We start from the raw sequence: 13995 nt of genomic DNA, 5'->3' as shown, positions 1-13995 counted from the left end.
CGAGAGAAAGTGGCTTGGTGCATGACAAGTACCTGCTGCACTCGTGAATCTCAATATCCTCCATAAAGTACTCAAGCTGCTTTTTCAGACTAGATAATAAACAAATTATTTGTATGGCAACACTGAAGCTTTAGAGTATCTCTCCCTCTCAGTTTCATCTATAGTCCCTACAGAGGAAACAACACTAGCGCTTACTTGAAAATAAGTCACCATGCTCATGCTATGTGACAATTGTCCTTTTGCAAAAACTGATTGGATTAGGAATGATACAAGTGCTCAGTAAGGTGATCTGTGGGCCAACCAGTGGTCCACAAATGTAATGAAGGAGAGGATCATGCTGTCAGTGTTGGAGCTAGAGTAGAAACAAAGGGTTGCTAACTGAGTCCTGATAATGAAAGAGTCCTGATACTGTAAGGATATGCCAAGATGGTCTGAGGCAAGAGCTACCTTGGATAGAGCAAATTCCCAAATTACATTCCAGTATCCACAGAGTCCCATGCTATGGCTGTACTCCTGCAAGAGGCCTGGGTTTTTCACCGACAATATTGCCATAGTTGTATTATAGAAGCTAGCCCAAATGATTGTTCTATTCCTGGCCAGGACAAGAACCATACACAACAGACTCCCTCCAGTGGGGGCTCCCAGATTCCCAGATTGAAACCTGCTGTGGCCACCAGAATCAGCATTGTCCACATTGAAAGCTACTCTTCTCCATCCAACATCGCTCTTCTATCCTTAAGCCAACAATTATTCCAACAAACAATATCCCAGAGACACTTATTGAGACAGGATGGATGAAGAAACCACAGGGAAAAAAGACTCCATTCAAATGTGAGTAAGCTAAGATGCAGGGGGACTTGTCAAGGGCAAAGGAAAAAGCACTGAGCAGACATACACTTAGATAAGTTCTGGAATATTTTTTGAAGTACATACATCTACTCGGGCATTGAGGATGACATCTAAAATAAAATCCCCTTCCTAAGACAAGTCACCAATTTCAACTTGCCTTTTGTGGCTACAGCAATAGTACTTGCTTATAAAAGGGTCAATGTTAATAACGTGGGAAAATTGAATCATACATCCTTACTTTTTTCTTTTCTCTGCACATTGGCATCATTCTTTTATATGGCAGTCAGATTTTCACCATATATTGGGGCACCTGAGCAAACTCACATTCTTCCAACTTTGGGACCAATTATCATGGTCAGGGGGATATAATAATAATATTATTATATACTATCTGAGTCTGAGTCACTTGCCCAACCCTTTGGCTGGAGTAAAGGATATGGACCCAAAATAAGGTGTGTGGGGAAAGGAGGGGAGTAGATGTTCAGGTCAAACAAACAATATTCACTACACGTATGCATCATATGCATCATTTTATCCCCACATATTCATTCCATCAGTATATTTAATACCGACTATGGACCAGACACTACACCAGGTACTAAGATAAGGTAAGCAAAACAATATAATCCCTAGTCATGGAACTTACAATTCAGCATTTCTAGCTAAGTTTGGGGGCAAACTATCTAATCACTCTGAACTTCAGTTACAAATATCATCTGTAAAATTAAGATGATATTTCCCAGAAAACCAAATACCTCATGTTCTCACTTATAAGTGGGAGCTAAATCATGAGAACACATAGACGCATAAAGGGAAACAACCGACACAGGGGTCTACTTGAGGGTGAAGGGTAGGAGGTGGGAGAGGATAAGGAAAAATAACTAACGGATGCTAGGCTTAATACCCGGGTGACAGAATAATCTGTACAACAAACCCCCATGATACCAGTTTACCTATGTAACAAACCTGCACATGTACCCCTGAACTTATAAGTTAAAAAAATAAAAATAAAAAGAAGATAATAATATTTGCCTTTCATTGCTCTTGCAGAAAAAATTAGACAAGGCATCCAGTGTTCAGCATTAGCAGTTTAAGTTGTGTTCCCAGGGCAGCAGCTGTGGTGTTCCCATTGCTTCCAATTCTGCAGTGAGATTTTAGGAATTGTTTCTGGCTGCACAGCTTCCAAATCCTGTTCATCAGCTTTGCTGGAGATTCTGTGCACAATCTAATATTCCCTAATAAATTGCCCTTCTGCTCAAACCAGTTTTGATTGTGTGCTACTAAAAACCTTAACTGATAAAGAAAGTGCTTAATAAATGGTAACTATAGTTACTAATCCCTTAGCTTGTCCCTTTATTAAGAAAAGTATAGCTGAGACCCATGCAAGGTGGAATCCTGAAGAAGCATCCCTAAGAATTAAATCTGACCTTAACCCTGGCCATAGCAGGGGTTGAAAGTAGCTCCCAATTCTAATGGACAAGCAGGGTGAGGAGTCCTTTGTCATTTTCCAGAGACTAGAAGAAGGAAGGAGGCAATTCTGCCTTCCACATATAGAGGTAAAATCATGATTTCACTAAAGGGGTTTTCATGCATTGCACTGATTAAAAGTAATAACATGCTGCTGCTTCAACTCCAGATTTAATTTCAGACATTTAAATGTGTTATGGCCTTTCAATTGAGTTCTGTGTGTTCAGTGGAGCAGAAAGGTAGGGAATCTTAGATTTTCCTTGTCATCTGGCAGACATTAAGGGGAGCCACGTCCATATTCCTGACCTTCAGAGAACGGATGCAGGACCTGATTATCCCATTGACCCACAATCTTGAAGGTGGTGGGGAAGAGGTGGTATCCATGTGAGAAAACATTTTAGGAGTTTGTCAGACAGAGCCAGGGGTGATCAGACAGCCCTTGAAGGGCAGCTGGGCCACTACTCAGAAGTCTAGGTGAGTCGCTGTCTGAGCACCTGAGAGGAAATGCCTGTCTTCCCAGAAATACATATGAATGGCAGTCTAATTGTGTCTAGAATTGATTCCTTCCGGTGGGTTCTTGGTCTCGTTGACATCAAGAATGAAGCCACGGACCCTCACAGTGATTGTTACAGTTCTTAAAGGTGGCGTGTCTGGAGTTGTTAGTTCCTCCCAGTGGGTTTGTGGTTTCGCTGGCTTCAGGAGTGAAGCTGCAGACCTTTGCAGTGAATGTTACAGCTCATAAAGGTAGTGTGGACCCAAAGAGTGAGCAGCAGCAAGACTTATTGTGAAGAGCGAAAGAACAAAGCTTCCACAGCCTGGAAGGGAACCCTAGTGGGTTGCCGTGGCTGGCTCAGGCAGCCAGCTTTTATTCCCTTATTTGCCAACCCCCCTGCCCCAACATCTGCTGATTGGTCCATTTTACAGAGTGCTGATTGGTCCGTTTCTACAGAGTGCTGATTGGTGCATTTACAAACCTTTAGCTGGACACAGAGCACTGATTGGTGCATTTACAATCCTTTAGCTAGACAGAAAAGTTCTCCAAGTCCCCACCCAACCCAGAAGTGCAGCCGGCTTCACCTCTCATAATGACTTTGGGATTTATGTGGTCTCATTTCTCCTGCTCCACCCTCATCCAGCTTGAGATTCATATTACCCCAGGGGCTGCCACTTACATCCTGTGATACTTCGAAGTTAACCTTCCTTAGGCTCAGTTTCCTCACTCTTAAAATACAATCATTTTATCTAACATATTGTATTTAAAACACAGGTTATTGAATGGAACATCTACAAAATGCTTAGATTGTATAAATTGGTTAGCCATAATTTCATATTAAAAGACCAATAATTGCAACTAATTGCATACTTACCCTCAGTTTACCAGAAAGCAGGGCAGAAAGATCTGGGGTGGCAAGTATAACTCTTTCTGATGACTTGGCCCCATGTCTCTGTCTCATCTCTTTGCTTCCGTATCTTCCAACAGAGAGATGAGAGAAGACCAGTAACAATGACTATGCTGCCACAGCTCACAGCCTCAGGTAGTTTGCCAAGAGATGTTGGAACCCCTTGTCCTGGCCCCAGTCCCAGAAATGGAACCCATTGATATTCCTCCTCTGGGCTCCCAGTGGCTGGTCCAGTAATGCAGAGAGAGATATATCTTATCAGCACATAGAGCTGTGACCACCCTCATGGTGACCCCACCCTCCAGTATGTCAGAAAAAAGACTCAGGGAGTCTGAAATAAGAGCATGAAGACTTCCTCAATACATTTCTGAGTTTAGAACTCATTTGGTGGTTCGTATGGAAGCATGAAAGATTTTGGAACAGAGAAATAGAATGGAAAAACCAAGTTTAAACTCCAGCAATTAAATTGAGGTGAGAATGATCAATATTACCTCAACATTCTCCTCAGCTTGACTAAACTTTAGACAGGCTTCTTCTTGTCTATAAGCCCCTGACCCTGCTTTTCTTAGAGCAGTCGCTTTAGAAAACTTTCAATTGTAAATTTTTTCTCTGACCCTTTGAGATGTAAATCTTTTCTCAATTTTTGCTTGTTAGTTTTATAACCCAGGAATATCTTTCTCAAGTACCTAGGAGCCATTCCTTTGAAATGTAATCATCAAGAAAGATAGGGCCCCATCTCCCAGTCTCTGTGAGAAGGTAGAAGCTTAACTTTCACAAGTGCCAAAAAGCAAACACAGATCACATCAACCAACCTCCTTCCTAATGTCCTCCAACACTTTTCCTCTAGCTTACCTCAATGCTTAAAACCCCTCCACCCTTTTGTTTCAGCGGAGTTTAATCTCTCTCCCCTATTGCAATCCTGTTGAATAAAGTCTTCCTTGCCTTTATAACTCCATCCTGCGCAACTTTTCTTTGGCAAACATGGTTAAGAGAACCATTTAGAAGCTGTTATAACTTTCCAAGAGAAAGAGGCAAAGATAGCAGAGCTAGAAAGCATGGTTTGGATTTGGAAGAAGGGAGTAAAAGACAATTTAAAAGTCAGAGTGACTTCCTGCTACTTTTAGCTTCTGGGCAATAGGACTGCTACCCCATATGTGCCAAAGGTCAGGAAGTAAACTGGGCTGGAATAGAAAGACAAAATGGTAAGTTCTTTTTTAACATGTTGAATTGAAAGTTCCTCTGGAAAAGACAGAGATACAGCACAGAGGGCTGCAAATGAGGCAGGGGCCAAGGTACAATATTATCTATATTTCTTTTCTCCAAAGTAAGATGTATTTTTTAAAAATCGTTCAGAGGTACTACATAGATGTAGTAGAAAGCTGGGGCACAGATAATTACAACGTAACAAAGCAAAACAAAACCCCAACCAGAACCTCCACAAAAATAGCAGCCACTCTTTCCATTTAGAGGTTGTCTGTGCCTAAGGCACTGATGGGCTGAAACAGGAGAGGTAAGAAAAGGAATCGTTGTAACTAAGGCAATTATCACTATGAATGAGTATTAGGCAGAAGCTATGGGAGGATAGGAGGGTGGGCAATAACCTGAAAGGGGATGAGGGAAAAGTCATCAAATGGGTGACATTTGAGCTATACTTTAAAGTATGATGATTGTAAAGTAAGGAGCTTAATTTAAAAAGTAGAAAGACAAGCTATTGCCTGGGAGAAGATATTTGCTCTAGAGCACCTATCAACTAATATCCACAATTTTAAAGAACTTCTACAAAGCAATGTTTTAAAAATGCAGACAACCTAATTTTTTTAAATGGCTGAAATACTAAACAGGTACTTCACCAAAAAGGTATTTAAGTGGCCAGTAACCATATTAAAAAGGTGCTCAACTTTACTGGCTACTGAAGAACTGTAAATTAAGTCCATAATCTTCTATTAACACACACTCTCCAGAATAACAAAAATTAAAAATGCCAAGTGTGGGTGGGGCTGTGGAGCAATTAGACCTAAAACTTTTTAAGTAGGAGTATAAATTGATAAAGCATATAAATTGATAAAGCAACTTTTTATTTTTATTATTTTTTTTTTAAACAGGGTCTCACTCTGTCACCCAGTCTGGAGTGCAGTGGTGCGATCTCAGCTCACTGCAATCTCTGCCTCCTAGGTTCAAGCAATTCTCCCACCTCAGCCTCCAGAGTAGCTGTGATTACAGATGTGCACCACCATGCCCAGCTAATTTTTGTATTTTTAGTAGAGATGGGGTTTCACCATGTTGGCCAGCCTGGTCTCAACCTCCTGGCTTCAAGTGATCCATCTACTTCAGCCTCCCAAAGTCCTGGGATTACAGGCGTGAGCCACCACACTCAGCCTGATAAAGCAACACTAAAAACAGTTTAGTAGTATCTACTAAGGCTGAATCTATGCCAATCTATGAAACAGCAATTCCACTCCGATGTGTAAATCCAACAGAAAGAGGATGTATATTTACCAAAAAGCATATAAAAGAATGTTAATAGTGGCAAAATGTATAATAGTGTCAAACTGGAGAAACCCAAATGTCCATCAGCAGTAAAATGAATAAAATGTGGTATGTTCATTATACAGAGAAGAAAACAATGCAAATGACCAACTACAAGTACATGTAACCATATGAGTAAATTTCACTAACATAACATTAAGAAAAAGTAGCCACAAATCGTATGTACTGAATAATTCCATTTCTATCGAGTTTTTTAAAAGTCAAAAATAATTAACAGTATTAGAAGTTAGGATAGTGGTAACTCCTAAGGGTGGGAAATTACTGAAAGGGGGCACTAGGAGGTTTGGGGTGCTGTTCATGCTCTGTTTCTTGAGCTGGTGCTGGCCACTCCATTTGTTCAGTCTGTGAAATCTCCTCAAGCTGGAAATATACAATTTGCGCACTTTTCTGCATGTGTGTTACACGTCAGTAACATTTACATTAAGCAAAATAGAAGTGAAAGGGGCTTATTTTGTCTGAAATGCAGATTGCCTGGGAGAGGAGTAGCTCTAGGAACTAGACCCTGTGTTTGATGACTGCCTGCACAGTCTCCTCTTAAAAGCCAGACTGGAAAGAAAGGAGGTGTATGGAGGAGCAGAGATCTGCATTCCTCAGAGAGGAACAAAGAACAGGGGGCCAGAGAAGTAACAGGAAAGGAAAAAGAAGCAGTTGAAACAAAGAAACAAATGCTTACAAAGGCTGCAGACTAGAAATTGACACAGTGAAGCAGGCAATGACTTGAAAAATAACAGCTGGAAAATTTGTATCTAAAATATAATACAAGCAAGAATATTTAGAATGAGTAATTCTGCAAAAAGCCTAATTGCTCTCACCACTGTCCACCTAAAAGAAAGAAACTGAGGCAAGATTAATATAAGTAGGGGGTTTATTTGGGCCAGTCTTGAGGATTGAAACTTCAAAGCACAGATTAAAGTTATCCTGAATATGTAGTCCGGTCCCACCAGCAACAGTTACAAATGGATTTTTAAAGGAAATAAAAGAAAAGGCAGTTCCTAAGTTGTTTAGCAATAATTAACATATGAAAATAACATAAGCTATTGATCTGGCTATATGTTGTTCTTTGTTTCCTAAATTACAAGAAACGGAAGATAATGGGTGAGGCAGCTAGTTAGGAACTAAATGCTTTTAAACAATTCCCCCCACCCCCCACCCGTGTGGGTCCTGTGAGGGAGTGGGAGCATGACTGAAGTCCCATACTCACGCTGGCCCTGATCAAGTTTTCATACCTCACATAGCTCAGCCTGCTCTGAGTTGATTCTTTTTTATTGCTTTGATTCATGTGGAGTTGACACTGCATTCTGAAGCCAAGTGGAGTTTCTCATTACTTTTGCCCAACAAAGCAGGAGAGACTTCAAATAAGGGTCCAGAATTCTTACACTGAAGAAGAAAATTTTTCCATTGTTCTCTAACCTTCCCTCCTCTCCCACTCATAATCTTACCCTCATCTCTGCTTCTCTCTGCTAAATATGGAAGCTGCCACACCCACCCTGATGCCTCTGTCCTTCCTCCTCACTGCCTCTCAAATGTCTCCCTGTCACTCCAATGCTTTGACAGGAAGGGCCAGAGGACACTGGGTTCAGGGACCAGAGTCTTCACCCTGCAGGCTTTGATGGAATTTGAGCAGAATCCAGCATCGTTCATCACTGTCAGGTCTGGATGGCACTGAGTTATCACTACAGCAAATGCAAATCCAGCCATTCAGATGTCAGAAAGGCCTTCACAAATTTGCCTTTCTATTTCAGATTCCCAGGAAGGTGACTGTTCTCTTCTCAAGTTAGAAGATTTCAGGTCAGAGGCCAGAATATGGGAGGAATGCCTGTCTCTGCAAACCCACATGGCTCTGGATTAGTTGGGACGGGACCCCAAGGTCATGGTGAGGAACAAACTGTACTCTTCAGCCAAAGTGTGGCGCTCACTCTGCAGAGGTCCCTATAAAATAATAAGCTTCCTTTTGGCATCTGGATATTTTCTGCCCCTGCTTGAGCCCATGGATTTCAGAAAGACCTAACTGTTGGCTTACAACAGTCCAGCATCTGGGTCAAAAAAGGGGAACTCTAGGCTAGCGGTCCTCAATGTATGGTCTGCAGGACAAGTTGCATCAGCATCATATGGGAACTGGTTAGAAACTCAAATTAATGAGCTCTGCCTTAGAACTACAGAACCAAAAACTATCAGGGTAGAGTTCAGCAATCAGTGTTTTAACATGATGCCTTAGGTGAGTCTGATGCAAGCTCAAGTTTCAGAAATACCACTCTTAAGTCTAAGAAGATGAAGGTTCTAGGACTTCAAAGTACTCTAATGCTTCTCCTATGGTAGAGCTAGCAGGAGTTCATTTATTATTCGTCCAGATGCTGATTATGCAGTTCCAGGAATTTGAGTCAATGCCAGAGCAGTTGAGGTAGAGCAAGGAGGAATAACAAAAATGCTAGGATATCGTGGTGTTCTGAGACAGGTGAGCTTTTCGGAGCCTCCCAACTTGTCCCCTAGTGCTTAAAATTTGGCACAGATGCTACCATCAGCCATGACATGGATAGAGGAGACTCTCCCCTTTATGCTGATGTATACACCAAAACGAGTCACAGAAAAAGCAGGCTTCCAAGATTTTTCAGCTCCCGTTGTTCCAATCATCTTCTATGATTCTGTCTCCTAGACCTGTAGCCTTAAAGCAAGCTTATTTAAAATAAATCTGCCAGTCTGTTTCAAAGAGATTTGTTCTCCTAAATTTGTCCCAGACTGAAAACTGCACACGTCCAAAGTTTAAGAGGTTATGTTAGGAGAAATTGAACATTATGTTTTCCTACTGCTACTTAAATTTCCAGAGGCATTTACAAAAATTAAACATCAATGGGAAGCCAAGTCCTTTATGAAGCTAGCAATAGACATTGATCCTGTGATAATGTTATTATTTTTCTTATTGCTCTTGTCAGTATGCATTTCATCATCGCTGGGTTGGATGAGTATAGGGCAGCATGGGAAAACAATGTTTATTGACTTGCAGTTTCTAGGTGCTTTAAAAAAAGTTATGCACAGGTACATATGAGCATATTAAAGCTCTTAATTTGTGTTTCTAATAATTTCTTCTTGAATCTCTAAAATTATGACACTACGATTAGCATTTTATTACCACATGTACAATCTATCCAGTCACCTTGAAGTTAGATTAGATGGCATTCAAGTCACTCAGCACAGGTGAGTCAGACGGACTTTTGACCTCTCTGTAAAATAGGAAAATAAAGACAGTGACTTTATTTATAAGAAAAATGAACTTGGCCAACAACATTAGAGAATGCTTACTCATTCTGTACCTAGACACAGAGGAGCTTGGAACAGACCAGGAGAAATGAGACCATTATATACCCTATAATTACAACTTGTCTAATTGATCCAAGGGGAAGCAGAGAAAGTTAACTGTAGGGCAGCAAGATGTAAACTTGGGAAGTCAGATAAGAATGGACCTTGAAAGGGACCTTGAAAGGTATGCAGGGGGCCTGGGCACAACTGCCAAGCATAATCAGACACTGTGTGAGAAGAGGAAGTAAGTCTAGTCCCAATCACTTAATAAGTACAGATCTCTTAGGAAGAGGCTCTGGTACAGTATCCTTCCCCCGTCTTAAAGGGACATGGAGTCTCAGCCTCCCAGCAGGAATGTCTAGAGAAAAAGTATCTAGCTAATTTTGTGGGCAGGGGTGAGGGAAGGAGAAATATTGTCTGGCTTAGTAAGAGTGTGGTCTCCACAGTAACACAGATCCCTGATGTGACATTTGAGGCAGCATCCTTTCTGTGTCAAGACTGGTTCCTCCTCCTGCATTCTGGATCCCTTCCCTGGTGTCTTTTCAGGGCATCAATTACCCCATCTCTCTCTTATCTAGTCAACCCTTTCCTCGCAATCTTCCCCAAAACACTTAAACAGGCTCAAGCTTTCCCCACCTTAAAAATATCTTCCCTCTACCCCACACTTCCTGCAGCTACAGCACTCTCTCCTCCTCCTCACACCCAAAGTTTTCCAGAAAATTATCCATCCTTGCCATCTCCATATGCTCCCCTCCCACTCCTCAATTCACCTCGCTCTGTCTTCCACTCCTGTCACAGGCTTTAAAAAGCCACTGCAATCATTAGGTGACCTGTCTATTGCCAAAGTCTCAGGACATTTTCAATTCTACCTTACTTGAAACCTCCGCAGTGTGAAGGTCACTCCTTCCATCTATGCTCCTTCCTGGGTTCTTGGGGCTCCACAATCTCCTGGGCTTCCTCCTACCCACCTGCCTGCTTATTCATTTATTCTGCAGGCTCCTTCTCCCTACCCGACATGCCAGAGTTCCTACAAGCTTCAGGAGTCGTCCTTGACTTCTCCCTCTTCCTCACCACTCTCCAATCCAAAACATCACCAAATCTTGTTAATTTGGGTCCTTTGGTATTTGTTTATTCTGTCGGTTTTTTTCTGTCTTCACTCCTCTCATTCTCTAAGAGCTGCTATAGCCTCCTTCACAACAAAGAGAGAGAGCTGCCTAAAGTCACCCAGCTAATGAATGATGACTAGGAGTGGTTCCCAGATATTTTATCCCTTACTGCTGTGGAGGTTCCTCATCACCCTAATAGAATCACTCTTTATTCACAAAAGTAGAAAATTAATTTTGGATACATCATTTATTATCAAGATGTTGTTGAGGAAAAATAGGGTCATGTAAGGTGCCTCTCAGCATCTTCCTTCAAGTTGCAAGAATTAGAAAAACAGAGACAAGATTCTATGTGTGTCCTCAGAAGACCTTCCTGAGGACCATTCCCCTAGGAACTTAAAAAAATTAAGCCTCCAACTCTTTCCATCTTAACTGTGTAACAGAGGAAGGTGATGACAAGAGGAAGGAGACAAGCAAGAGTCAGACTTCGAAGGCTTGGCAGCCACTGTCAGCAAGAGGTGAGAACAGCAGACAAGACAGCAACACTCCTGAAATAATCAATCCATACGGACTGCCATGTGAAATGTGGAGCAGACTAGTTCTAAATGGCTCCAGGAGGCAAAATAAGACTCAAGAGAAGTTACTGGTAGATTTCAACCCAATGTGAGACAGAAAAATCTGTTGGAACTGTCCAGGGTGCCAAGAGGAGGAATGGGCCAGGAGGGACACTTACGTCTTAGGCTGCGTACAACTTTCTTATGGGTTTTGTCAAAGAGACTCTTGCACTATGATGAATAAGATAAAGTAAGATCTGGTTTTCATACCAGACCTCACAGGTAAGATAGTGTTCTGTGGTTTGACCTTCTCAACAACATTAAGAGACCAGTGGGCAGATACTATTCCCTACTTAGATAAAAGTTAGGTAAATCATCTTGATCACACAGCAAACTAATAGAGGATCCAAGATTCATCCACCCCACACTATCTTATGGGACACTATTACATTATACAGACTGTGGTAGGCATTGTAGATGAAATTGGAAAAGTAATCTCATACCACCAAGGAGATGATTAATAAAGATGATACTCATGCAGGCCCATTAACATACAGGGAGGTAAGATAGAGGTTAGAAAGTCCAGGAGGCTTACAGGACATGGAGGAAGTACACTTAGCAGGCTAAAAAGGAAAGAAGTAGTCAGAGAACGTGTGGCCAGGGCCAAGTCTTGAAGAATCAGTGAATAGAAGTTAACGAAGCAAATTTCTTCAGGTGGCTGGTATGCTGCTGCTACTCCCTGCAGATGTCCTTTACCAGGGCAGTAGTCCCACTGTCAGGAGCTTCAGGTGTTGGCTGCTATGGTTCCCATCTGCCTCCCTTCTCCAGACAATTGCTCCTGGCAAACTGGTGGCAACTCACCTTGGAGGTTACACCCCCCACCTACAGAAACATCCTACTTCCAACAGCTGACCCACATGGGGGTACTGGAGCCCCTGCTTCAAAGTGAGACAATCTCTATAGTGCAATTCACACTCCAGAACTCCCTGAGGGATCAATTAATATCTCATTCTCCTGTAATTCCTGCCCCTTACCCTATCCTGGCTCCTTCCCTCCCCTTCTCCTGAGACTGCTCCCTTGATAAATCATATAAATCTCTGTCTTCATCACTGCTTCTAGGGAACACAACCTAAGTCAAGGGGGAAGGATGTTCAAGGCAGAGAGGAAATGGAGGTGAGAAAGCACAATGCAATAAAAAACAGCAGTAGGTTGGAACAGAGAGGTGACCTGCAGTATGTCAAGGAATAAACTAGGGCAGATGAACAGGGGGCACAGTCCTACCTCCAGACATCTAGCTCAGTTACATTCAACCTCTCCAAATTGACCTCTGATATTCCACATGGCTCCAAGCTGACCTCTGATACTCCACATGGCTCCAAGCTGACCTCTGATATTCCACATGGCTCCAAGCTGACCTCTGATATTTCACATGGCTCCAAGCTGACCTCTGATACTCCACATGGCTCCAAGCTGACCTCTGATACTCCACATGGCTCCAAGCTGACCTCTGATATCCCACATGGCTCCAAGCTGACCTCTGATATCCTACATGGCTCCAAGCTGACCTCTGATATCCTACATGGCTCCAAGCTGACCTCTGATATCCTACATGGCTCCAAGCTGACCTCTGATATTCTCCATGGCTCCAAGCTGACCTCTGATATTCTACATGGCTCCAAGCTGACCTCTGATATTCTCCATGACTGCTTTAGATGCTATATTTCAGAGCACATCTAGGCCATGAAGTGAGTTTATAGAGGAAACGAGTGACAAATAAATTCCTTGATTTATTCAGTGGCATTTCACAGAGCAGGAACAAAGATGAGCTCCCTGGAATTTCCTGATTCTCAGACCTTATTACAGCTAGGGAACTTGCCACAGAATCCTTTTGAGGGAGAGCAAATTATCTCAGTAGGCTATTTTGTCCTCCCTTGCCTCTCCAGAAATGGCAACCTCCCCCTGCCCCTTTCATTGGCTCCGTCTGCTTTTCCTGCTTTCCTTTCTGGCCTCTATTCATAAGGTCATGCCCCTGGGTCTCCGTTAGTATTGGATTTTAATTCTAAATGTTCCCAAAGCCAATGAAGCTCTTTAATCACAAAATTGGGCTGCCAAGGAAAGAATGTTAATTGGAAACTTATTTCTAGAAGTCCTGGGAAGTTTAGACATGGATATTTTTCTTTTGTCTATCATGCCCTTAGCACAGAATAGACTCAGGGAAGCAAAAAATAAAATGTGGCCCCAAATATGAGAAATTGACCTGAGAAATATACAAACTCCTAAGAAAATGAAAGACCTCTGGATTTCAAATACTAAGGATAGTGACCCAGTTGGAGGCACCTGAAACCTAGTTATATTTTCCTAGGAAGCAGAGGACTGGGCAAAGGTAGACAGAAAAAGACCCCAAGAACCCAATGAGAGCTCATAATTAGGGTCAGGCCCCAAGCAAGGCCCAGCACCTGCAGCACTGCTCAGGTTCAGAGTATAATCTTCCTCTTTCACAATCACACAGGTAACCTGCTATGTTCCAAGCCCCTTGCTGGTCCCTGAGCCATAGACAAGAATAAGACACAGTTCTTGTCCCCAGAGCCTAGAAGGAAAAAGGGAAATTCATGCAAATATTCACAGCAGCATTGCCTGAGGAGACAGAATACACCCCCTCTGGGGGTGGAGGTAGAGGGCAGGGTAGACTTTCCTTTAATGGACTATGCAGAAGACTCACTCCCTTCCCAGATATGATATCCCCACAAAGCCAGAACACCATCCACCATCCACATACCAAGATTG

General features: G+C 42.3%; 1 long non-coding RNA gene across 16 annotated transcripts in view; it reads right to left on the bottom strand.

Moving 5' to 3' along the window:
- Nucleotides 1-13995, bottom strand: part of LINC01811 (long intergenic non-protein coding RNA 1811) — a 276733-nt gene that overhangs the window by 127766 nt on the left and 134972 nt on the right. For 10 of the 16 annotated variants that reach the window (NR_183677.1, NR_183681.1, NR_183678.1 and 7 more), the window contains one exon: nt 9412-9478. The exons of the other annotated variants lie outside the window; for them this stretch is intronic. This is a non-coding gene — a long non-coding RNA (long intergenic non-protein coding RNA 1811). The remainder of the gene's footprint in view (nt 1-9411; nt 9479-13995) is intronic. 16 annotated transcript variants of the gene reach the window in all.

Source organism: Homo sapiens, chromosome 3, assembly GCF_000001405.40.
Source record: "Homo sapiens chromosome 3, GRCh38.p14 Primary Assembly".
NCBI lineage: Eukaryota > Metazoa > Chordata > Mammalia > Primates > Hominidae > Homo > Homo sapiens.
Note: the sequence above shows the minus strand (reverse complement) of the source record. Positions and strands in the feature narration are given on the sequence as shown.